This window comes from Homo sapiens, chromosome 4, assembly GCF_000001405.40.
Source record: "Homo sapiens chromosome 4, GRCh38.p14 Primary Assembly".
NCBI classification, from domain to species: domain Eukaryota; kingdom Metazoa; phylum Chordata; class Mammalia; order Primates; family Hominidae; genus Homo; species Homo sapiens.
The window spans coordinates 145,468,032-145,494,181 of record NC_000004.12 but is presented as its reverse complement, the minus strand read 5'-3'; the positions used below and the strand labels follow the sequence as shown (position 1 = coordinate 145,494,181).

Sequence of the window (26,150 nt, the reverse complement as noted above, 5' to 3'; positions counted from 1 at the left end):
GAGACCAGCCTGGCCAACATGGTGAAACCCCATCTCTACTAAAAATACAAAAACTAGCTGGGCATGGTGGCGGGCACCTGCAATCCCAGCTACTCAGGATGCTGAGGCAGGAGAATCACTAGAGCCTGGGAGGCGGAGGTTGCAGTGAGCCAAGATCACGCCACTGCACTCCAGCCTGGGCGACAGGGTGAGACTCTGTCTCAAAAAAAATTAATAAATACAGAATAAAGTAAGGTAGAAGTGGGCCAGAGGCAAAAAGCTCTATCAAATGCATCAGACTTTTTTCCCCAATCCCTTGATTTTGAAGTGAAAGTTTCAAATGCATAATCTCCTCTTACCAATTAGATTGCTTCTTCAGGGCAGAAAATGACTTACAGTTTTCTCTATCCCATCCAAAACATAGTCCAGTGCTGGATGCACAGCAGGAATGCATGAAATACTTGCTGAATTGATTAATATCAGCTTAACAAAAAAGGAGAACTCCACAGTGAGGACACACCCCTTTTAAAGGAGCCTTTTCTAGAATACAGAACATCTCAGCCCACACAAATTGACAAAACTCTTCAGCAAATATATGCTATAAATGAATGCGAATAAATGCTATAAATACAGTTTTTGTGCCAACATTTAAATGATAATCAAATTAATTTTGTTCACAGTTAACAGAAAAACATTTAAAACTAATCAAATATTCCCTCAAGCTTGAATAAACTAAATAGAAGCCCTGAGCACACAAACATAAACACATGAAAAATAAAGAGGTTGTTATTAAATATGTTGGACTGCAAAGCCAGCAATGTGCAAAAAGCAAAACAGGAAGCTGTAATAGATGAGATGGCAAGCTATACGCAACCAGCTGTATAATTTCTACAGCAATATCCACTGTATCATTACTCTCTTTCATGAAAAACTACTGTCTCTGATAAAATTAAGACCGATTTTCCTGGCATTTCTCTTCCCTCTACCACTTAGCTCAAAGAGTTTGAGTGACAAGTCTCACCAATGCATATCACTTCAGGGCCCGTACTCCCAGTCACAACCCACTCAGAAAGGACTTAAGGATGGGTAGGGGATGCTAGTGGGCCAAGTTGTGAGCCTGAAGGTGAGATTTAAAAGCCTTTTTTATCCAACTTTAAAATGTTTGCAGGTCATTTAAAAGAAAGGAGATGGTAAGACAGAAGACGCAGACAAATTCTGATTCTGTCTAGTGGCAAGGTAAGAACTCACTTAAGGCTGAATGTAATTCAGTTAGGTAAGGATCCTACCAATAACCAGCAGACTCATCCCCTTATGGGCAGCATATGAATAGACTTTTAAACCTGCGGTACTGTAAAATATATATTTGGGCTTCAACCTTGTTTCTGGCATACAGCTCCTAAAATCCTTGGAGACTCCAAAGTGATGTCTTTTTGTATGCTAATGATTGACTGTTGGCTGGCAGCCCCTAACTAGCTTTAGGATGGTGGCAAGATTAGAGGATTGAGACTTTCAGCCCCACCCTCCAACCTCAAGGGAGGGGGCAAGGGGCTGAAGGTTAAGTTGATCACCAGTGGCCAATGGTATAATCAATCATGCCTATAAAATGAAGCCCTATAAAAAACCAAGAGGACAAGGTTCAGAGAGCTTCTGGACAGCTGAACATGCAGAGGTTCCTGAAGCGTGGCACGCCCAAGTTAGGCATGGAAGCTCCATGCCCCTTCCTCCACACCTTGCCCTATGTATCTCTTCATCTGTATCCTTTTTAATATCCTTTATAATAAATCAGTAAATGTAAGTTTCCCCGAACTCTGTAAGCCATTCTAGCAAATTAATTGAATCCAAAGAGCGGAGTCATAGGAGCCCCAACTTGAAGCTGGTCAGCCAGAAGTTCCAGAAGCCTGGACTTATGTTGGAGGTGGGTGGGACTGAACCTTCAATCTGTGGGATCTGAGGCTATCTCCAGGTAGAGTCAAAATTGAATTGGAAGACACCCAGCCCAGCCAGTGTTTGGTGTGTAGCGAAAAACCCACACACATTTAGTCACAAAAGTATTTTGTGTTGACTGTTGTAGTGTGAGAGCAGAGGGAAAAACAGTTTGAGTTTTCTACTGACAGAAAACCCATGACCCCTATTATCCTTTAAAAAAATTTGTAAAATTAAACACTGATGCCTAACTTTTACATTTTTTTTAAACATTATAAGGTTTTACTACAAGGGGAACTTTTCTCACTTTATTTAATACCTCATAAACTCGTCCATCTCAATAATCAAAACTATACTCCAAGACCATCACTGCGTCTCACATCAATGAGCAAATGCCACTATAAAATCTAATACTGCAATTCAGGTAGGAGAGAAAGGGGCCTATTTCAATATGCTCTAGGAAGCACTGGTGTCTTCAAGGTTCATCATCTACGCCAGGTGACTGAGAAACTGTGTATAACTGATAGCCCCTCACACTGCAATAAGGAAACTCCTGGACGAAAACCATGTTATGGAGGGAAGCAGGGTGCCTGCCTCTTATAACTCTACTTTGTATATATCTTGTACCTCCTTGACACTCCAGATTCTCCTAGGAGGCTGGGAAATTCGGGCTTCCTTTCCTTAAATGAGAAAAGCCCAGTCTTCCCAGACTGATACTTCCTAGTATACAAAGAATAACAAAATACAGGAAAAAGGAAGACATCATCCCCATTTCAATCAAGTCTGATCCAGGACATAACCAAAACATTGTGTGTTCATTAGTAGTTTGTACTTCTTTTTTCCTTTTTCTTGAGACAGTCTCACTCTGTTGCCCAGACTGGAGTGCAGTGACACAATCATAGCTCACTGCAGCCTTGAACTGCTGGGTTTAAGTGATCCTTTTGCCTCAGCCTCCAGAGTAGCTGGGATTACAGGCGCAGAATCTTCCCGTCAGCAGTTGGCATTTCATTTGTTTGTGAAATGCTTGTTCACGTCCACTACCAATTTTTCTATTGGGGTGGTGCTTCCTATTGATATAAGTCTTTCTTGTAAAGAACAATATCTTGTTGCAAATCTCTTTATCTGTCTTTCAGGTTTTGTTTTTGAGTATGTTTGGTCACATAATAAATGCTATCAAATCTATAAAAAGTTTCCTTTATTGTTTCTGCCTTTGGAGCCACATTTTGAAGGGCTCTGTGGCTGGCTATTAATAACCCTCCCCCCAGTGGCATAAATCAAACTCCCCTTTCCTTCTAACACTATGACAAGAATCCACTGCAGAATCTTTCTGCATTAAGCACATATTGGTTTAATGAAAAAGAAATGTTTTTAACCGTAATGAATGCTGTAATAAAAGCCACAGAAAAATTCAGAATACAATACTTATTTTTTTAAGTTCTAATTAACTTAACCTTTAAAATCATTACAGGGATTCTTCTGTTAGTTCAATTTCTATACTTTTCTTAGAAACCTTTATCTAGAATTGTTAGGGAAATGCTCTATCTACAAATTCCCAAACTTGATATTTCACTACTTCATTACCAAGATTCTCATTGCTTACTGCTTCTCAATTCATTTAGTTCATCAGGCTTCTTATAAAACAAGTAAGTGTTGGGGCTTGGTCTTACACCCAGGCAATCTGACTCTAGAGTCTTATCTCTGAACCCATTTGCTATCCCTAAGCCTACCAGGCCACAAAGTGATACCAAAAAGTAACAATTAACCTAGTCTCCTATACAGCAGCCTCACCACACTTCACCCCAGGTTTCCCCCCAATTGTTTAGAATTTGACTTCTCTATAGATTGCCTGGCACACTACCTACGGTGGTTCTTCTTCCCTTACCATGTGCTGATCTTCCTCCTCACCATCCCAGTGAAAGGACTTACCTCCAACAATACAGGAAAATCAGCAAAAGTGCACAGGAGCTCTGCCACATGCTTTCTTCTCACTCGGACCCCATTCTGTTTCTTTCTCAGACAACTCTCCCTCCTTACCACGGTCAACATTTGTCACTTGTGCTCCAGATGGCTAACTCCATCACCTCCAATTGCTCTCTGTCCACTGACTTCTTCCCCTCAACCTTCAAATATGAAGAGGTCTCATCTATCTTAAAATTCAAGTCACTTAAGGCAATATAAGACTCTCTCACTTCTTAATGTATTCAGCCTTCTCTGAAATTGCATTCACATGATTATCTGACTTCTTCTCCTTCACCCTGAACTGTACATTTTCCCCTCCAAACCTACTTCTAGAATCTCTCTTCCAGTGGCTTCCTGGTTTTCCCACTCCTCTGACCCCATGCCTTTCTTCCAGTTTCTTCTTTGGTCTATGTCAAACAGCCTCTCAGGCAGTCTACTTCAAATTAGCCTCTTCCTTCTATTAATTCCTAACCGTGGGCTCCAATGGAAGATTCAATCCACCAGTTCTTTCTCTCTTTGTGGTTGTCTCAGAATACCCAGCAGATGACTGCAGAGAGTCTAACGTAAAGCTTTCAAGTCCTCCCAAACCTTATCTCCAACCTGCCTGTAGCATACTTTGACTTAGATATCGCACCTTAAATTTAACACATCAAGTCTAATTTATCATTTGCACAATTTTTATTTCTTCTACAACCAGCTCTTCCCTATTCTTAAGTAACATCTTTATTAGTTTTCCAGCCACCAAGTTTAGAAACTTAAGGATATATCTCCGACATCTCTTTCTCATTACTTTATAGCCACATAATCACCAAGCCTTCATGGTTTTTTGTTTTATTTTATTTATTTATTTATTTTTAAATCCTTCTCTTTCCATGTCTACCTTTACCAGAGATTTATCATCTCACACATAACTCAATAGCTTTCTTACTGATCTCCTGGCACTGGGCTCTATCCCTCCAGTGCAAACTGCATGTTCAAACACTTTCAGTGACTTCCCAATGTTTCCTTATTCTGGCACTCTAAGGCCCTAAAATTCTCACTGGAAGTCAACCTTTCTGAGCATCTCCTCCACACCACCATACTAGGCTCCATGAGGAACACCCACTGAGGTCAGGCAGGGCTGCTCACTGCCTCTGGATCTGTGCTATTTGATATGATAACCACATGTGGCTACTGAAACATAAATTAATTTTTTAAAAAATGCTGTTCCATGTGTGGCTACAGCTACTGTATTAGCACAGATGTGGAACATTTCCATCACTGCAGAAATTCTATTGGACAGTGCTGCTCTACAGATACTCAACACTCATGCTTATCTCCCAGTTTTTCATGCCATTACTCTGTCTATAATGTCCCTCTTCCTTCTGCCTATGCAAACTCACATGTCCTTCCAGGCCACAGTGGTCCTGATGTGAGTTGTCTGTACAATTTACTCCTATACTACCTTGTAACGGCTCTTATAATGTTGCTGCATTTAATTTTTCATGTTTGTGTATACTCTAATTATTAAGCCTCAGAACTAATAAATATTCAGGGAATAAATGAAGCATATACTTATTACAATACTGCAGCAAAATGATCAAATAAGGGCCCATTTAATATCCCTCCTTCATTAAAAAGATACGTTTCTTTTCCATCTAAACAAACAAAAGATCTTGCATTTAGTTAACTGAATAATGGCTTAATTAATGCCTAATTATAACCGTTGAGAGAGTCTCCCCCCCACCTTTTTTCTTGAAGTGTTTGAAACTAAAAGAAAAAAAAGCTATAAAGGTCTGGAATACTTCTACTTTGCATAAGCACACCACAAAGAAACCACACACACACACACACACACACACACAAAAAGACAGGGAGAGGATAATACATGAATAGTTGGAGTAACTATACCCTAACAATCTCAGATTGTAGAGCAAAATATCCACAGTACAGCAGCCCTACAATTAAGGGGAAACTACAAATAAAGCATTAAAACTTATGTATAAAAATATATTCTGAATCAACAGAGAGACCCCTCTCTCCTCCTCTTCCCAAACAGGACCTAGTGAATATTCATTTACATCCTGAACTCAAAAGCATATACATGCATAATTAACAATTGTATGTTCTTTCTTCAGATCCAGGCTTATTGTCTCAAAAAAAATATTTGTTAAGAAACCAATCTATACTGCAAACCTAGGTTCTTATTAAAAAAAAAAAAGTTCCTTTTTCAAACACTAAGAACATAAAAGAGATTTGGGAAAATCACCAGGTAAGGACTTCCTCACACCTTAGAGAATTTAATGCTTTATTTTCAAGAGAGAGTCTTCTCTAAAGTTCAGATTTTAGCTTATAACAAAAATTATAAAGATGCTGAACTGTTCAAATACTGTAGTTCCCAGTACCTTACTAAAACTCTGATGTAGTCACTGGAGTGAAACTGCTTATGAAACTTTTGGCTTTTCTTTTCTGAAAGATAGTTTCCTTTATGCAAATGAATGTTCTAGAGAAGCCGCTCATTTCTGCAAGTCAGCCCGCAATAGCTACAGACATTACTGTTTTGCATATAGGACTAGCCCTGCACCTCTAAAACTGACACCATCTTAATAACGCAGAGCAAGATGAGTATTTTAATTTAGATTTTAAGCAATTACATTAATACTATTTGGCTCTGCCTTTTTCTTCTCTTTCCTTTTCTTTTTAAAGGTGGCTACAGCAGAGTGATGAAAATACTTCAGGTATTTTTGCTGCAAATCAGATGCCAGATCAACAGATTAGACTGAATATTTGTACTACCAGATAACAGCAGGAAAGGAAAATAAAGGGTCAAGAGGTTTCAGATTGGGGCAAAGAGGACATGCCCCTATTTGTTATCAAAGTATGTCCTAAAATCTTGGTACCAAAGAGTAAAACCACATATAGAAGTAGCAGAACATTTCATCAACCTCAAAGACATGCTATGACTTAAAACCGATTTTTTCCACTTTTTTATATTTAAATTATCCTTTTTCTCCTCAGACCTGTCCAATTCTCTCCCTAGGACTCCCTAGCTCCCTAAATACCCCAAACTTTAGCTTTTGGTTAGGAATGTGATTTGTTTTCGAGAGTCAAGAGGAGATTCGTATATTTTGCTAGATGTCAGAGTTGCCTGCTTTAATTTGAACTTTGTGCAATCTTGGATCTCCCATTTTCTAATAAGGTCTCATTGATTAAATTAGATATAGGGCTTTTCTTTTCCATCTCCAGAATGAAAAAGAATCAATTTTAATATGTAGAAAATAAGCATTTCTCTCTGGTTGTCAGATTTGATTCCTACTTAGCTCAAACAATGTTAGGTATAAAAAGTTGCTAACAGGCCAAAAAATTCTTTCCTCCCTTCCCTAAATTACACTGGATATGCTTACACCAAAGCCTCAGAAATATCGTGAGCGTGGTAGGGAGAAAAAAAACCTGAAAACAAAAGGGCACTTAATGCCAAGAGGAGTCCAGATCTTGGCTTTCCCTTTTCCAATCACTAGACAGGTAACTTTGGATGTCAGTTACCTTCTCTGGACTTCAGACTGTTCACCTTGATATGAACCAACCAGATTAGAAAATCTTTAAAGCAACTTTTAATACTAAGTATCTCTATTCTCTGTAAAGGAAATTACAAATCTTAATGTTTATGAAAGCACTTGGCAGTCCCATGGACATATTTCACCCGAAAGACCATGAGATTTGGATAGTTAAGTGTACACATTAACTCACCATGACATATAAGCATTTTGGGATAGGAAGGTGGGAATAAGAAGATACAAGATCCATAGTTTCATCGATTCTTAAACAGCCCTGACCTTGTAAAACATTTACAAAAATAGATGTTGAATGTTTTTTTAAAAATCCCCAATGAATTTGCAATTACTATTCTTACAGTGTTTAACAGCTCAGGGAAGATAGACTAATTTTGGTAAGACAGACAAACTGAATTACTACAACTTTCCTCCTAACTTAATATCAGTTTGTGATTATGTAAGAAAATGCAAGAGGAAAGTGACAAGAATTATGCAGAAAAGCAGAGATAAAACTAATTTGGCTTTGAAATGCATTATTTTCATGCCAGATTTATTCTTCAAATTATGTGCTGCTTAGATGAGCATTATTTTTCCTTTCTTAAACACTTACAAAAGAACGACAGAAGATAGCCCAGAAAGGCACAATAGAAGGTAAATTTATTTAAAGACCTACAAAATACACAAGCCAAGTCATGTCTATACTGGCATAGTAAAGCACAGCAGAACAATGATGATTTGGGTCTTCTGAACGAAAGACCAAAAAACATAGTTAAGATGGAGTTTCTAGAGTTGGACTGCCTCGATCATATCCCAGGTAAGATTAGAAATCATAATCATTCACTGTACCTCCTGAAGCAAGATACTGAATCATTCTGTCCTCAGTTTCTTTACCTGTAAAATGTGACAACAATAGTACTTATGGAAGTTTTGAGGCTTAAATGAGATATGGGTATTATAAACAATGCCTGGCATACATACAGTAAAAATTCAGAAAAAAGGGTTAGCTACAATTATTTCTTCTCTCTAAGGCTCTAAACCAAATTAGAATCGATGACACTAATAATAAATAAGATCTACAGAAAAGTCAAACTCCTTTTATCCAGCAGCTTCAACTGTCCCTTCCAAATTGTGTTTTATTTTAAAAAGAACAGCTAGTTAGTGATAAAATTAGTTTATATATGTCTTTCCATCTTTGACTCCACAAATCATTAGTAGAGTTAACAAGTGAGAAGAGGTAAAGGTCCTGGGGCAGCAATGGCTAGCAGAACCTCCTGTGATGATGGAACTATTCTATATACACGCTGTCCAGTATGGCAGCCACTAACCACAAGCAGCTACTAAGCACTTGAAATGCGGCTACTGCTGAGAAAACGAATTTTTATTTAATTTTAATTTAAACTTAAATAGCTATAAGTAGCCGAGTGCAGTGGCTCACACCTGTAACCCCAACACTTTGGGAGGCCGAGGCGGGAGAACAGCTTGAGCCCAGGAGTTCAAGACCAGCCTGGGCAACATGACGAAACCCTGTCTCTACAAGAAATACAAAAACAAATTAGTCAGGCAGACATGGTGGCAGTGCCTGTAGTCCCAGCAACTTGGGAGGCTGAAGTGGGAGGACTGCCTGGGCCTGGGAGGTCGAGGCTGCAGTGAGCCATGATCGTGCCACTGCACTCCAGCCTGGGTAACACAGAGAGACCCTGTCTCAAAAAAATAGAATAATAAAATTTCAAAAAAAGCTACGTGTGACTATGGCTAGGATAGCAGAGCCCTAGATAATCCATAAGCTAAATAAGGATTGTCAGAAACTTAAGCAAAATAAGGATCTTCTTTTCCTGAACTGTTTATATGTTCAATTCAAATATCTTTGTTTCTGGTATAGGCCTGGTAAGTTTGACTAGTTAAAGAAATAACATGTCAGTAGATATCAATACAGTGAAAATTCAGGGGTAATAAAAGGATCAAAGTTAAGTATGTGGTCCACTGATATTTTATAAGGTCCCTAAGGCCAAGTTAAATTCAAACTCACATGAAGCATTCAGTACACATATCAGAGCTGCAAAGGTCCTTATCAGCATCCCTAAAGCATCTGTTTCTCCTCTACCAAATGAAAAGCTACTTATACAATTCAGATTGAATATCTCTGCATTTATCTTAAATTTTTCTACAGAAATTCATAGTTCTGTAAGCCTTTTCCCTCTTTCACACACACTGGTATCCCTGGCCATCTCAGCCTTTCCACTATAAACAAAACCCATGTACCACCCATATCTGAAGTATAACGCCAGACTCCTGCTTAGCTACCCCTGTAATATGGTTTAATTATGATGACTGAACTAATAGGCTGACATCATAGACTTTTACAGGCTGACCCCATGTCATCCTGATGTATCATTTTGCACCAGTTCAGTGCTGTAAATCAATTTAAGATCTCAAGCAGGTTGAAAAGGCTGGTAATGATGCTTTCTCTGCCGTCTCTGGAGACTCTACATTATACCCAACTTACATTATTTATAAAGCCTCAGTGATGCCTCCATTAGCCTTGTAAGACTACACAAATGAGATCTTTTATACACACACACTTGGCCTTGATTATGTAGGCTACTGCAGCTTAAACATGCTAGTCTAATTACTATACCCAAGCTACTTCTTTTTCCAATCTACTAGGTTATTAGATTTAATATTTAACCCAGAATTGCTAGAAATCAAAATTACAAAGTGAAATTTAGTTTTTAACTAATAAATGTAATAAACGTAGTTGAGAAAATGTGACAACTTCCTCTTAATGCCTTAATGAACTTAGTAAAAATAACATAAAATTCCAAGAAGTGTAAGAGGCCAATGTCTTTAATTGCCTAAAAATTGTCATTTCTCTAAAACACAAAGGTCATCAGCTCTTCAAGGATACGAAACCAAAGGATACTGCAAGAGGTAAAATGTATTTGGTTACATACCTATGGTTGTAGGGGTCAAAACTAAATCAAGGACAAATCCCTACCCTCAGAAGAAACTCGATCCTGCCTGGATCCTCTAGAGGCTCTGGCATCACCCACCTCCAGAAAAATCATCTCTCACGACCCTAGCTACACCTTCCTAAGAACTGCAGTATTACACCAATGATACACCACCTGCACAGAAATAGCAAATAATTGCAAATGGGAAAGAGAGTGGGAGAGGGCAGAACAAACACTTTAATCAGTACAGCATATTTAGATCTGGCACCTACATCAGAATAACACTGATGCAACAATATTTATACCAATTGAAAATGCTGGGGCAGTGAACACTTCTGTTCCGATTCTTTTTTAACACGGTCCACCTACCTTCAATACAATTTAAAGTAATTACAAACAATTTGAAAAATCAACATGGGCAGGGAACAGTTTTCTCATTGTGTTACTGAGGTGTGGGCAAGTTATCCACAACAGGCAATTAGACCCAGAGATGTTCTGAAATAGAGGCATTCTGAGATTTAGCGGCTGAGAGTTTCAGCAACAGGAAGAAATAACAGAAATCATGCAACTTCTGTATCATTCCACGTACTTTGAAACTTCAGATACAATGGAAAGAAAAGAGGGGGGAGGGCAGAGAAAAAGGACAGTTGTCTCAGCACTCACGAAAAGGATGCTTTCTCAGGAGATGGTTCTGAGACCGGCCTCAATTTTCAGAAGGAACGCGCCTTTACTGGTTATCTTGCACCGTGTATTTAAAAATTGCATGCTCTTCAAAATAAACAAAAGCTCAGCTACTGTAGCTGTGAGATCTGGCAGGCATTTGTTCCTCCTCCCCTCCTAAAGCACATCAAGAAAACGTTCTCCCTTTAAAGCCTTCATACAGTTTCAGCAACTAGAAAAACAAGCCCACATCTGTCTCTCACGCCCACCACCCCCACCTTCCTACAGAAACAACCCCGAGAAACACTAACAAAGACAGGGAGCAGAGTAAAGGAACAGTTGTTCAACCGCGAACTCACGAATACACATGCAGTGAGGCAATCGACTCCGGTAAAGGGAAAGGAACGAGACACCAGGAGACGCAGCGGGTGTAGGCGGAAGAGGGGGAAAAAATTACGCGCCGCCGCCAAACCTTTGAATAAATTAGAGGGGATCTCGGTGCGAACTTTCCTTGACCTCGACCCCAAAGAGGCTTGCTGGGGCCGAGAAGAAAACCCGTGCGGGATGTGGAGGGGCCCGGGGCGCCGGGGTCCCCCGCCCGCGAGACCCGCTCCACCAGGCGCCTTGGAGAGCAGCGCCAGCGGTCGTCCTCCAGCTCCCGCAGGGGTCGCCCCGCCGGCGCGGGGGACACAATGGGTCCGCGGGCCACGCGAACGGGCCTCGGCCCGGCGGCAGCACGGGAGAGATGTGAGGAGCGCGCGGAAGGGGAGCGCGGCCGGGGAGATCCCAGCGCGGTCAGGCCCGGGAGCCGAGGCTCGGGGGCCCGGGAACTGGGCTTCCCACAGCAGAAGACCCAACAAAGACACCAGGGGAGCCCGGCGGGCTGGGCGCGAGAAGACGTGGTAGCAGGTTCGCTCCTCCGAGCAGACGGGAGGCGCCATCATGGGGGGGGGGGGTCGCGGCCCGCCCCGCGCAGAAAGAGCCCCCTTCCCGCCGCTGCCCGCGCCCCCAGCCCAGCACGACCGCGGCGGCCCCACGCGTGCAGAGACGGCGGCGGCGGCGCTGGAAAGCCCGGGGCGCCGAGGGGAGGGCTGGGACGCGGCATGAAGGGAAAGTTCGGTTCGGGTCTGTTTCGTTTTACCGGGTTGGCGGCGCGCCCGTCCGTGTGGGAGCACGAGTGGCCGGGCGAGCGGGGTCTCGCGGCCCGGGTCCGGACGGCCGGGCGCTGCGCCACTCTCCGCTCCCCGAGCCTCGGCCCGGGTTGAGCCGCTCGGCCTCTCCTTTCTCCGCCCGCCCGCCTGCTTTCTCCTGGAGCCTGGATTGATCTGGTCGCGCTGGCGTCAGGGAGTCGGAGCTGCCCAGCCTCCACTCCTCAGCTGCCAATACCCGGCGCACTCGCCTGCCCGCCCGCCCGCTCACACGCTCACCCGCTCACCCGCGCGCCGCCGCCGCTGCCGCGCGACCAGGGATCCTCTCCAAATTCCCGGCCCGGCCGGCGTGAGCGCAGCGCGGCCGGGGCCGGAGGACGGCGCGGGGGAGCGGCCGGAGCCACCCCCTTCTACCGGCAGCCCCACGCCCCGTTTCTTCCTGGAGAAAAAACAGTGTGGCGGCGTTCAGGCTTTCCTAACCCTGCCTTTTTAGTCCCGGTGGAGCGGACTTAGTCCATTATCTGCAAGTGAATTTCGATGTTCCATATGTTTATTTTCTGAAATGTTCATTAACGCTTCCACCGCGCCCACTGAATCGTTCTATAAACGTGGAGTGCATGTTGACAGTTACCTTTCGAGACGCGCCCTTTTATGTCTATCTTTCGTTGCCCCTCACTCACTCTCCAATAATTTGCAGGCCCCAGAAGTTGTACGTACCCAGAATTGGATAGCCTAGTAAATACTGCACGTGGTTATACAAACCCTGAGTCAACAGATGCGTTTTGTGTCAACTCAGGATCCAGTGATTCGAGTAGGTAACCTTGTTGCTCCAAATAATGGCATGCCATAAGGAGATACTGCTTTAGAACTCCACATTTTTGGTCCAATTTCTACAGTCTTTTAGATGATGCCAACTCCCCCGCACTTAACTCTTACCTACCTGATCTGCATAGACATTGAAAATATCTTCTTGCAAGAGTCAACTTTTCTCTTGGCTAACTCTTGAAGCTGCATAAAATCTTGCATAATTACTATAATGTTGAGTTACGTTTAGAAAAAATGATTTTTTTTTGAGGAATAAATTTCACATGAAGCAAAAAAAAAAAAAAAAAAATCACTCCCAGCAATGTATATCAGAATATGTCTTCTAATTAAATTCCTTTTTCCCTTAACCTATTTGAGCACTTACTGGTCAATTCGTGGGCCTCATCTTATTTTCCCTAAAAGCAGCGTTTGACGCAGTTGATCATTCTCTGCTCCTTAGAACAACAGGAAAGTGAACCTTGTTAAATGCCACTCGGATCAGGCCACTCCTCTGTTGAAAACCCTCCCTTGATAAATAGTATAAAGTATCCCATACAAGAGAACATTATTCAGCCATAAAAAGGAATGAAGTACTGATACTGATGCATGCTACATGGATAACCTTTCAAAACGTGAAGGGAAAGAAGACAGACCACACATTGTATTCTTCCACATATGTGAAATGCTCAGAGTAGGCAAGGCTATGGAGACAGAAAGTAGATTGGTGGTTTGCATAGGGTTGGGGAAATGAGGAACCTGGGGAGTGACAGCTAAAGGTTATGGGGTGACAAAATTGTTCTAAAACTAGTTTCTGGTGATGGTTGCACAACTCTGTGCATATACCAAAAGCCATTAAATTGCACACTTTAAATGGGTCAATCATTTGGTATGTGAATTTTACCTCAAGCTATTAAAAAAAAAGCATGACAATGAAATGCAGTATATGACCTTGATTGGATCCTGAATGGGGAGGAGGAGCTATAAACTGTCATTTTAAAGTCGTTAATTTTTAAAAAAATCAAAAATGGCATTTATTTAATTTTGAGACGGAGTCTCGCTCGGTCGCCCAGGCTGGAGTGCAATGGCACGATCTCGGCTTACTGCAACCTCTGCCTCCCGGGTTCAAGCAATTCTCTTGCCTCAACCTCTCGAGTAGCTGGGACTACAGATACACACCACCACGCCCATCTAAGTAGAGACGGGGTTTCACCATTTTGGCCAGGCTGGTCTCAAACTCCTGGCCTCAAGTGATCCACCCGTCTCAGCCTCTCAAAGTTCTGGGATTACAGGCATGACCCACCGCGCCCAGCCTAGATGGCCTTTCTTAGTGCAGTCCTAGTAGTCTTAAATGATAACTATTAATATTATTATGTATGCAATAAAATTTGATTTTGCCCATTGTGCAAATTATTTCCTTAAATGATAATAAAAATTTGGATATTCTTTTTAAAAGGACATTGATGAGACCATTATAAAAACCTAAATATGGACTGTATATTAATATCATTTTATTAAATTTTTAAAAAATCCTCCCTTGGGTCCTCATTTCACTCAGAATAAAAGTTCCCATAATAAGCACAAGACTCTACATAATCTTTCCTTCCCCTCCTTTAGCACTCTGACCTGCACTTCTACTCTTCCTCTTGCTCACTTCCCCAAGTCACACTGGCATCCTCACTCTTCTGGAACAATCTGGGCACATTCTCACCTCAGTATCTATGTGCTAGCTGTTCCCTCCCTTTCTGAGTTCATTTTGTGTTGCTGTAATAGAATACCACTGATAGAGTTTGGCTATGTATCCCCACCCAAATCTCATCTTGAATTGTAGCTCCCATAACCTCCATGTGTCATAGAAGGGACCTGGTGGGAGGTAATCGAATCATGGGGGTGGGTTCTTCCCATGCTGTTCTCGTGATTGTGAATAAGTCTCATGAGAATCTGACGGTTTTATAAAGGGCAGTTTCCCTGCACACGCCCTCTTGCCTGCTGCCACGTAAGATGTGCCTTTGCTCCTCCTTCACCTTCTGCCATGATTGTGAGGCTTCCCCAGCCGTGTAAAACTGTGAGTCCATTAAACCTTTTTTTTTTGAGACAGAATCTCACTCTGTCACCCAGGCTGGAATGCAGTGATGCAACCTCAGCTCACTGCAACCTCTGCCTCCAGGGTTCAAGCAATTCTCCTGCCTTGGCCTCCCAAGTAGCTAGGACTACAGGCATGCACCACCACGCCTGGCTAATCTTTTTTTGTATTTTTTAGTAGAGACGGGGTTTTGTGGTGTTAGCCAGGCTGGTCTCAAACTCCTGAGCTCAGGTGATCCACCTGCCTTGGCCTCTCAAAGTGCTGGGATTACAGGCGTGAGCCACCGTACCCAGCCCTAAACCACGTTTTCTTTATAAATTACCCAGTCTTGGGTATTTCTTCATAGCAGTATGAAAATGGACCAATACAACCACCAGCTGGGCAGTTTATACACAATAAAAGTTAATTTAGCTCATGGTTCTGGGGGCTGAGAAATCCAAAATCAAGGGGCTGCATCTGGTGAGGGCCTTCTTCCTTCATCACAACATAGCAGAAGGCATCACATAGCAAGAGAGAGAACATGAGAGGAAGGGTAGAAAAGGGCCAAACTCATGCTTATATCAGCAATCCCCTCCTGAGATACCAAACCGCACTCCCATAATGCCATTAATCCATTCATGAGGACAGATCCCTGTTAAAAGAAAAACTTTAGGCAAATTAAATTTAACAGAGTTTAATTGAGCAAAGAGCAATTTGAGAACTGAGCAGCCCCCAGAACCAGAATAGTTTCAGAGCAACTCTGGGGCTGCCACAGGGTCAGATGATGTTTATGGGCAGAGAAAGAAAAGTGACAGAAAATGGAGTGAGGTACAGAAAAAACTGGATTGGTTAGAGCTAAATATTTGCTTTATTTTAACACAGTTTGAACAGTTGGCTGCCTGTGATTGACCAAAACTCTGTGATTGGTACAAGAGTTGGCTACAGTCTGTTTGCATATCCAGTTAGGTTACAGTTTGCTGTGTACAGAGAAACCTTTAGGCCTAACTTAAAATATGTATGGGCCGGGCGTGGTAGCTCACGCCTGTAATCCCAGCTACTCGGGAGACTGAGGCAGGAGAATCAGTTGAACCCGGCAAGCGGAGGTTGCGGTGAGCCAATATCATGCCATTGTACTCCAGCCTGGGCAACAAGAGCAAAACTCCGTCTCAAAAAAAAAAAAAAAAAAATATATATATATATATATATATGTGTGTGTATATATATGTATATACATATGTACATATGTATATATACGTATATATATATATATGGAGGCAGCTTTAGCCTAAACTTAATTTAACAGTCCTCATGACATAATCACCTCTTGAAGTTCTCACCTCTCAACACTGTTGCGCTGGGGATTAAGTTTACAATATATAAACTTTGGGGAATGCATTCAAACCATAGCACTCCCTGGACAGCTCTTCCCACAGATGTCCACATGGCTCACTCCTTCATCTCCCTCAAGTCTTCACTCAAATGTCTCCGTATTATTTAGCCAAAAGAGCAGGATTTTTGGTCTTCTGTGTTCATTGCTATAATCTCAGCACCTGAGCAGTGCCTGGTATTTAACAGGAGCATATTAAATACCTGTTGAATGAATGAGTAAGTGAAGCACTGTTCTAGCAGGGGATATGGTGGCAAGCAGAAAAAAATCCCTGCCCTCATTAAGGAAGACAGATAATAAATAAATACACGGCCAGACGTGGTGGCTCACACCTGTAATCCCAGCACTTTGGGAGACCGAGGTGGATGGATCACGAGGTCAGGAGTTCAAAACCAGTCTGGCCAGCATGGTGAAACTCCATCTCTACTAAAAATACAAAAAAAAAAAAAAATTAGCCGGGCATGGTGGCATGTGCCTGTAGTCCCCGCTACTTGGGAGGCTGAGGCAGGAGAATCACTTGAACCCGGGAGGCAGAGGTTGCAGTGAGCCGAGATCGTGCCGCTGCACTCCAGCCTGGGCGACAGAGCGAGACTCCATCTCAAAAAAAAAAATAAATAAATAAATAAATAAATACGCAAATATGCTAGGTAGTGGTACAAGTGATGGAAAAAACAGGGGAAGAGGGATTGAGAATGGGAGAGATGACTATTTCTAAAGGGGCAGAGGAAACCTCACTGCAAGAGGTCCTGAAGGAAGGGAAGGAAGCACAGTACACACTCTGAGGGATGAGTTCCCAACCTCCCAAGCAAAAGGAAGAGCAAGTGTAAAGACCTAGAAGCTGAGTCTACTTTACACATCCACTGAAAAGCTGGGGGGCAGGGTTGGGGACAGTGCAGTGATGTAGGAAAAGCTAGTGACTGGAGGGAAGGCAGAGTGTGTGGACCCAGATGCACACAAGCTGGTGCTTGCTTGCAGAGGTGAGAACGCAGGGATGGTCTCTTCTCACCACTCTCTCATCTTAGTGAAATTGCCCGGGAACCTGCTTCCCGAGAATGGTGGGATTGAAGAGATGCTGGAGGTTGGAAGAGAGAGGAGTAATATCTAAGTCATCTGGTAGGGTTTGAGAGTGAATGAACTGTGGAAATGTGGTAAGATTGCTACTATTAAGTGTCCATTTGAGGTTAGCGGCCATTAATTAATTAATTTTTTTTTTTAATTTTTTGAGATGGAGTCTTGCTCAGTCACCCAGGCTGGAGTGCATTGTCACAATCTTGGCTCACTGTCATGATCTCAGCTCACTGCAACCTCTGCCTCCCAGGTTCAAGTGATTCTCCTGCCTCAGCCTCCCTAGTAAGTGGGATTACAGGCATGCACCAGCATGCCCGGCTAATTTTTGTATTTTCAGTAGAGACGGGGTATCACCATGTTGGCCAGGCTGGTCTCAAACTCCTGACCTCAGGTGATCCACCTGCCTCAGCCTCCCAAAGTGCTGGGATTACAGGCATGAGCCACTACACCCAGCCTAGTGGCCATGAATTTAAAGTAAGACCAGTCAGCATGGCTGTGGGTTTTTCTCCAGCCTCGGTTAACCTGAGGGGACAGAGCTGAGTTTAACTAGGGCTGGGGTTTTGCAGGTGTATGTCAGGGAAGGGAAGGGGATCAGACAGCAGAAGCTATAGGCAATAGAGTGACTGTCGGGGGTCTGTGATAGGAGGAAGGCGAGAACATATAGTAATGTGAAATGTTGGAAAGATGATAGGATCCACCGAGTGAAGCTCCTAGTGTGGTCCATGAGTTACTGGAGTTGGGAGCCTTTCCCAAAAGCTGGGGAGCAGTCTGGGAATGAGATACTTGAAATTGAAATCATGATGCTGGGGCAGTTTTGAGCAATGCCAAGATGTAGGGGTGTGACCAGAGATGGCGGATGGCTGAGGTAGAGAGGAGGACAAGATCCTTCCAGAAAAGGAGATATTAAGGAACTGAAGGCAAACTAATTATGCTAATCAGTTTATCAGGAAAAAATCAGCTACTAATCACTTATAATAAGACGAGTCCTTAAAATTGGCTGCAAATTTTATATAGGCAAAATGTAAATCCAAAAACCTGTTTTAAGAGATGATTCTACTCAATAGAAAAATAAATGTAATGATTTATAGTTCAGCTCCCTCAGGGAATTTAAGTGACTCAGTTTTCCTGGAATGAGCCTGCCAAGGATCATTGGTGTGTTATTTTTCATATTAAAAGGAACGCTGGCCAGGCATGGTGGCTGATGCCTGTAATTCCAGCACTTTGGGAGGCCGAGGTGGGGGTCAGGAGTTCGAGACCAGCCTGGGCAACATGGTGAAACCCCATCTCTACAAAAAATACAAAAAATTAGCCAGGTGTGGTGGTATGTGCCTGTAGTCCTAGTTACTCAGGAGGCTAAGGTGGGAGGATGGATTGAGCCTGGAAGGTCAAGTCTGCAGTGAGCTGTGAGGATGCCACTGTACTCCAGCCTGGGCCAAAGAGCAAGACTCTGTCTCAGAAAAAAATGTTGTTGTTGTTGAAATCCTTTATTCTCTCATCACACCCTTTGCTCCAAAGAACTTATAGCTGTCTGTAATTATGAATGTATTTAGTCAAATTATTGAATATCCAGTGAGAAAACCCCACTGCTCTTCTAAGTAATATGTGGGTGGGAGCTGTATCTAGTTTGTGTTCCCATCTCCAAGCCCAAAGTTTGCACAGACCTGTCATGGCAGACCCTCAAATATTTGCTGAAAGAATAAATCTCTAATACAACTGTTGCGGTCAAATACAAATTGGTATTTTTTCTTAATTACAGCTAGTAATTGTTCTCATTATTGCCCCCAAGTCTGAAATTCAGATCTAATTATAAATTGTAGGAATTAATAAAAAGTTGTCAGCCCTTTTCCTGAGAGTTTTGTAACAGTCTATACATTACAAAGTTCCATGTGAAAATTCTATGGTAAACATTATGATGGCAGTAGAACTTATATTTCCAGCTTCTTAAATTTGTGGGGTGATTTGGTTTGGCTCTCTGTCCCCACCCAAATCTCATATTGAACTGTAATCCCCATGTGTCAGGGGAGTGACCTGGTGGGAGGTGATTGGATCATGGGGGCAGATTTCCCCCGTGCTGTTCTGGTGATAGTGAGTCAGTTCTCATGAGATATGATAGTTTAAAAGTATAGCACTTCCCCCACCTCGCTCTCTCTCCTGCTCCACAATAATAAGACGTGCTTGGTTTCCCCTTCAACTTCCACCATAATTGTAAGTTTTCTGAGGCCTCCTAGCCTTGCTTCCTGTTTAGCCTGCAGAACTGAGTCAGTTAAACCTGTTTTCTTCATAAATTATCCAGTCTCAGGTAGTTCTTTATAGCAGTGTGAGAATGGACTAATACAGAAAATTGGTACCAGGAAAGTGGGGAATTACTATATAGATACCTGAAAATGTGGAGGCAACTTTGGAACTGGCTAATGGGCAGAGGTTGGAACAATTTGGCGCACAGAAGACAGGAAGATGTGGGAAAGTTTGGAACTTCACGGAGACTTGTTGAATGATTTTGACCAAAATGCTAATAGTGATATGGGTAGTGAAGTCCAGGCTGAGTTGAGCTCAGATAGAAATGAGAAAGTTATTGGGAACTACAGTAAAGGTCACTCTTGCTATTCTTTAGCTAAAAGACTGATAGCATTGTGCCCTTGCTGTAGAGATCTATGGAACTTTGAACTTGAGAGAGATGATTTAAGGTATCTGGCAGAAGAAATTTCTAAGCAGCAAAGCACTCAAGATGTGGTCTGGCTGCTCCTCACAGCGTACAGTCGTATGTGTTCACAAAGAGATGGTCTGAAATTGGAACTTATGTTTAAAAGGGAAACAGAGCATAAAAGTTTGGAAAATTTGCAGCCTGACCATGTGGTTGAAAAAAAAAAAGAGCCATTTTCTGGGGACAAATTCAAGCTGGCTGCAGAAATTTGCATAAGTAAAGACAAACCAAATGTTAACAGCCAAGACAATGGGGAAAATGTCTCCAGGGCATGTAAGATACCTTTGCAGCAGCCCCTCCCATTCCAGGCCTGGAGGCCTACGAGGGAAAAAAGGTTTTGTGGGCCATGCCCAGGGCCCTGCTGCTCTGTGCCACTTTGGGACATGATGCCCTGCAACCCAGCCCCTCCAGCTCCAGCCATGGCAAAAAGGAGCCAAGATACAGCTTGGGCTGTTGCTTCGGAGGGTGCAAGGCCCAGGCTTTGGCAGCTTCCACGTGGTGTTGGGCCTGCAGGCGCATAGATGACAAGAGCTGAGCTTTGGGAGCCTCTGCCTAGATTTCAGATAATGTACGGAAATGCCTGGATGTCCAGGCAGAAGTGTGCTGCCAAGGTGGAGTCCTCATGGAGAGCCTCTACTAGGGCAGTACAGAGGGGAAATGTGGGATTGGAGCCCTCAAATGGAGTCCCTACTGGGGCATTGCATAGTAGAGCTGTGAGAAGAGGGTTGTCATCTTCCAGACCCCAGAATGGTAGATTCACCAACTGCTTGCACTGTGCACCTGGAAAAGCTGCAGGCACTCAATGCCAGCCTGTGAATGCAGCTAAAGGGGGCTGTACACTGCAGAGCCACAGGGGCATTGGAGTTGCAGAGCCACAGGAGCTGCCAAAGGACTTGGAAGCCCACCCCTTGCATCAATGTAACCTGGATGTGAGACATGGAGTCAAAGGAGATTATTTTGGAGCTTTAAGATTTAATGACTGCCCTGCTGGGTTTTGAACTTGCATGGGGGCCTGTAGCACCTTTGTTTTGGCCCATTTCTCCCATTTGGAATGGGAGCATTTATACAATTTCTCTATCCCCATTGTATCTTGGAAGTAACTAACTTTTTTTTACTTTACAGGCTTATAGGCAGAAGGGACCTGCCTTGTCTCAGATGAGACTTTGGACTTGAGCTTTTGAGTTAATGCTGGAACAAGTTAAAACTTTGGGGGACTATGGAGAAGGGATAATTGTATTTTGCAATGTGAGAAGGACATGAGATTTGGGAGGGGCCAGGGGCAGAATGATATTGTTTGGCTCTGTGTCCCCACCCAAATCTCATGTTGAATTGTAATCCCCACATGTCAGGGGAGAGACCAGGTAGGAGGTGATTGAATCATGGGGGCAGATTTCCCCCATGCTGTTCTCATAATAATGAGTGAGTTCACACGAGGTGTGATGGTTTAAAATTGTAGCACCTATAGGCTTTCTCTCTCCTGCTCTACCATGGTAAGATGTGGCTTGCTTTCCCTTCACCTTTTACCATGATTATAAGTTTCCTGAGACCTCTTAGCCATGCTTCCTGTTAAGCTTGCAGAACTGCGAGTCAATTAAACCACTTTTCTTCATAAATTACCCAGTCTCAAGAAGTTCTTTACAGCAGTGTGAGAACAGACTAATACATGGGCCATTCTATACTCTTTGCTTAATGGAATTATTGTCTTGTGCTATATTGTCAGTGTATTTGTAGTATTGGTGAAGTCAGTAAGTATTTGTAGTATTTAGACACAGACCTTTGAGGATGATTTATTCTCTCACTCACTTTCCTGCCACGTGGAACTTCAATACTTCAACGTCCTTATTCCCCAAAACATCACAGAGAATATTAATGCTACTGGATTCCTGATATAGACTGACAGCATTCTCTTCACTTATCTGATCTCTATTAATTCGATCATTTTATATATGTTGTTCAAATGTTGCTCCTAAATTCACCTAACAAAAGCAGAGTAAACAGACAACCCACAGAGTGGGAGAAAATATTTGCAAACTATGCCTCCGACAAAGGACTAATATCCAGAATCTACGAGGAACTCAAATAAATCAGCAAACAATAATAATAATAATAATCCCATCAAAAAGTGGGTTAAGGACATAAATATAAGCAGACAATTCTCAAAAGAAGATACACAAATGACCAACAAACATGAAAAAAATGCTCAACATCACTAATTATCAGGGAGATGCAAATTAAAACCACAGTGAGATACCATCTTACTCCTGCAAGAATGGCCATAATTTAAAAATCAAAAATAATAGATGTTGGTATGGATGTGGTGAAAGGGAACACTTTTACACTGCTATTGGGAATGTAAACTAATACAACTACTATGAAAAAGAGTATGGAGATTCCTTAAAGAACTAAAAGTAGAACTACCTTTGATCCAGCAACCCCACTGTTGGGTATCTTCCCAGAGGAAAAGAAGTCATTATATGAACAAGACACTTGCACATACATGTTTATAGCAGCACAATTTGCAATTGCAAAAATATGGAACCAGCCTAAATATCCATCAAGCAGCAAGTGGATAAAGATAATGTGAGCTGGGCATGGTGGCTCACCCCTGTAATCCCAGCACTTTGGGAAGCTGAGGTGAGTGGATTACCTGAGGTCAGGAGTTTGAGATCAGCCTGCCCAACATGGAGAAACCAAGTGTCTACTAAAAATACTAAAATTAGCTGGGCATGGTGGCGGGCACCTGTAATCCCAGCTACTTGGGAGGCTGAGGTGGAAGAATCGCTTAAACCCAGAGGCAGAAGTTGCCCAGTGAGCTGAGATCGCACCACTGCACTCCAGCCTGGGTGACGGAGCAAGACTCTGTCTCAAAAAAAAAAGTTATATATATATATATATATATATATATATATATATATATATGTGTGTGTGTGTGTGTGTGTGTGTGTGTGTGTGTGTGTGTGTGTGTGTGTATACCATGGTATACTACTCAGCCATAAAAAGGAACAAAATAACACCATTCACAGCAACCTGGATGGAGTTGGAGACCATTCTTCTGAGTGAAATAACTTAGGAATGGAAAACCAATTGTTGTATACTCTCACTTATAAGTGGGAGCTAAGCTATGAGGATGCAAAGACGTAAGAACGATACAGTGGACTTTGGGGACTTGTCAGGGAAAGGTGGAGGTGGGGGTAAGGGATAAAAGACTACACATTGGGTACAGTGTACACTGCTCAGGTGATGGGTGCCCCAGAATCTCAGAAGTCACCACTAAAGAACTTATCCATGTAATGAAAACCACCTGTTCCCCAAAAAGTATTGAAATAAATTTAAAATGAGAGCCTTTTTCAAGTGTTGTTAAATATCAAACTTATAATGGCTAGAGTTGACAGAGCATTTACCTGTCACAATACTAAACACCTGAGAGGCATCATCTCTTTCAGTCTCAAATCTCCATACAAGGTAGATGCCATCTTCCTTATCTGTGGATAGTATCAGTGTTTATTGAATAGAGTTTGTGAGGAACAATAATACTAGTGATAATAATAGCTAACACTTATGTTTACTATTTGCCAGACATTGTTTTGAGCACCTTACATATATGTTATAAACTCCTTTATTCTTCAAATCAATCCTATGAGATAGATACTATGCTATTTCCATTTTATAGATGAGAAAACTGAAACACCAACATGTTACGTGACTTCCCAAGGTCACACAGCGAGTATGCTAATGCCTCTAAAGTACTTAATGAGGTATCTGGCATATATATGTGTTCAGCAAATGTAGCCAATATTCTTTTCACTGGACATTCATAGTGTTGTACTTAAGTGAAGTATTTTAGGTAGACTCAGTTAGTGGGTTAGTCCCTTTTTTAAAGTTTTAATGATCACATGATTTCCAGAAACAAATTATTTAACGGTTTTGCTTTCAAAAGTAATTTCCCTTCACTAGGCCTTCATCCATTGGCAAGGTTTTCCATGCTGAAAGATTGGCTTTGGCTACATTTAATACAAAACCTAAATAACAGTGGCTTAAGCAAGATAGGATTTACTTCATCTCTTGTAGAAAGAGACCAGAAAAAGGAATTTCAGGCATAGTTCAGTAGGGTAGCTCAGGGCCATATCTGGCACAAACCAGGGGTTTGAATGTGTGTCAGGTAAATTTTAAAAACCCCAAGTAATCGACTCAGAGGTGTTAGGCCAAGGTCTCTGTGATTCCCTTTGCCTCTCCCTCATTGTTGATTATAAAATGGCCACTGCAGCTCCAGTCACCTCTTTATTCTCGACAGGAAAAATAAACAGGCAAGGACAAGAGGGATGGACCAAGCCTGAAGTCCTTTTAAGGAAGACACCACCTACCACCACCATGGGTGATAGGCTGTCATCACTACTACAACATCTGCCTATGCATCCTTGGTGAGAACTCTCATGTGGCTTTTCCTATTTGCAAGGATGGCTAGGAAATATCATTTTTGGTTTTTAATCTAAGCAAATTATTTTTAATCCAGGCAACAAAATGACAAAGTGAGAAAGAAAGTAAAAGATGAATGCAGTGGTGTGCTCCAAATGACTTGTACTGGCTGTGAGAGCTGAAGGTGACATTTTCAGATTCTTTGCAAGCTTATCATGAAACACATTGGTAGCCTGAAATTGGCCATGGTGGGAGTATTTACGTTGCAAAAATTGTCAAACACTGAAAATTAAGGCCCTGCCCCCTTTTGTGGAGAGGCAGTTGTTAAACTTTTACCAGCACACCACTGAATATTGGATAGGCAAATGGGAGTCCCTGCTACTGAAGGCTTTTTTTTTTTTTGTCTTACTATGTTTGTCACTTATTTCTGACTTTACTGGTTGAGACTTATTAACACATAGGTAGGTAATCTTTTGAAATACTTGTTGTTTTAATAATCCTCCTGTCTTTATTCTATTGAGTTTTATTCTTTCTGCAGAGAATGTACAAGTTGTTTCTTGGTAATAAGTTAGAAGAGTCATAAAATATTGTGAATTTCTGTTCTAGACATTTAAAAGGTTTTATTTTAAAATATTCTGATCTAGAAAGATTCAGATATATTCAGAAATAGCTTCTTAATTTTATATCTGAAGCAATTGTGATCTCAAGCTGTTGCTAAGACCATTAGCTTTTCTAAGGTATAATTTTACTGAGGTAGAAAAAAAAACCTTACAGTAATTTTTCTTCCCAAATTTAACCCTGAGAAAAGGGTAAAGTGGAATGTTGTCTCCTCCTGGTTATATGGAAGAGTCAATGGCTTTTCACTCTCAAGGCCGAGACTTCCTAAATAGGTCTTTTCCCCTTTTCTTTAGAATATAAACAGGTACTTAAAAGCACAGCATTGACAACAACAAAAAATGCTTTCCTTTTGGCTTGAAAGAAGGCAATAAGAAGAAAGATTTTAGGAGCTGAGCTGGAAATTAAGAAGAAAGCCTCAAGGTTCTGTGAGCATGAACCTACTTAAGGGGTCTTGCCTCCAAGACAGTATTTAGGATATATGGAAAGAAGCACAGGAAAAAAAGGTATGTATCAGTTAGAGTTGCAACATGTACCTTAGATGTTTCTTTGAAAAATCTTGCCTTGTATGACTTCCTTTAATGTTATCCAACTGTAGTAGTTATGAAGAAGAATTTTTTTAATTAAAAAAGATCCATAATGATCAGTCTGAAAGGATTGGCTATGCAGCTGAATTATACATATTTGAACACTGTCTATTGAGGGTTTTTAGAGGATGGTCAATAAATGACACCTGCTTGCTCTCCTAAGTATGAAGGCAAATAAGGACCGAAATCAGGCCCAGCGCGGTGGCTTATACCTGTAATTCCAGCGCTTTGGGAGGCTAAGGCGGGAGGATCGCTTCAGCCCGAGAGTTAAAGGCCACAGTGAGCTATGATTGCACCAGGGCACTCCAGCCTAGGTGGCAGACTCTGTCCCAAAAAAACAAAACAAACAAACAAAAATCAGAAGTC

General features: G+C 42.0%; 1 protein-coding gene across 12 annotated transcripts in view, besides 4 other annotated features; it reads right to left on the bottom strand.

The window, feature by feature from the left end:
- The window catches only part of SMAD1 (SMAD family member 1), a 78,407-nt gene extending 64,995 nt beyond the window's left edge, over positions 1-13,412 (bottom strand). For 2 of the 12 annotated variants that reach the window (XM_047415688.1, XM_011531962.3), the window contains exon 1: positions 339-3,905. The gene's annotated coding sequence lies outside the window, so the exon portion shown is untranslated. Of the gene's footprint in view, positions 1-338; positions 3,906-9,417; positions 10,957-11,005; positions 11,849-12,143; positions 12,330-12,429; positions 12,533-12,781; positions 12,877-13,339 lie in introns of those variants that run through there. The other 10 variants (XM_047415690.1, NM_001354812.1, NM_001354813.1 and 7 more) reach the window with 10 other exon arrangements.
- Positions 11,511-11,610: a silencer, noted in NCBI's record as "silent region_15730". NCBI's record gives its function as "represses an Ori minimal core promoter by ATAC-STARR-seq in GM12878 lymphoblastoid cells {active_cell/tissue: GM12878}" and the evidence as "EXISTENCE:reporter gene assay evidence [ECO:0000049][PMID:35858748]".
- Positions 11,701-11,760: a silencer, noted in NCBI's record as "silent region_15729". NCBI's record gives its function as "represses an Ori minimal core promoter by ATAC-STARR-seq in GM12878 lymphoblastoid cells {active_cell/tissue: GM12878}" and the evidence as "EXISTENCE:reporter gene assay evidence [ECO:0000049][PMID:35858748]".
- Positions 12,101-12,260: a silencer, noted in NCBI's record as "silent region_15728". NCBI's record gives its function as "represses an Ori minimal core promoter by ATAC-STARR-seq in GM12878 lymphoblastoid cells {active_cell/tissue: GM12878}" and the evidence as "EXISTENCE:reporter gene assay evidence [ECO:0000049][PMID:35858748]".
- Positions 12,431-12,560: a silencer, noted in NCBI's record as "silent region_15727". NCBI's record gives its function as "represses an Ori minimal core promoter by ATAC-STARR-seq in GM12878 lymphoblastoid cells {active_cell/tissue: GM12878}" and the evidence as "EXISTENCE:reporter gene assay evidence [ECO:0000049][PMID:35858748]".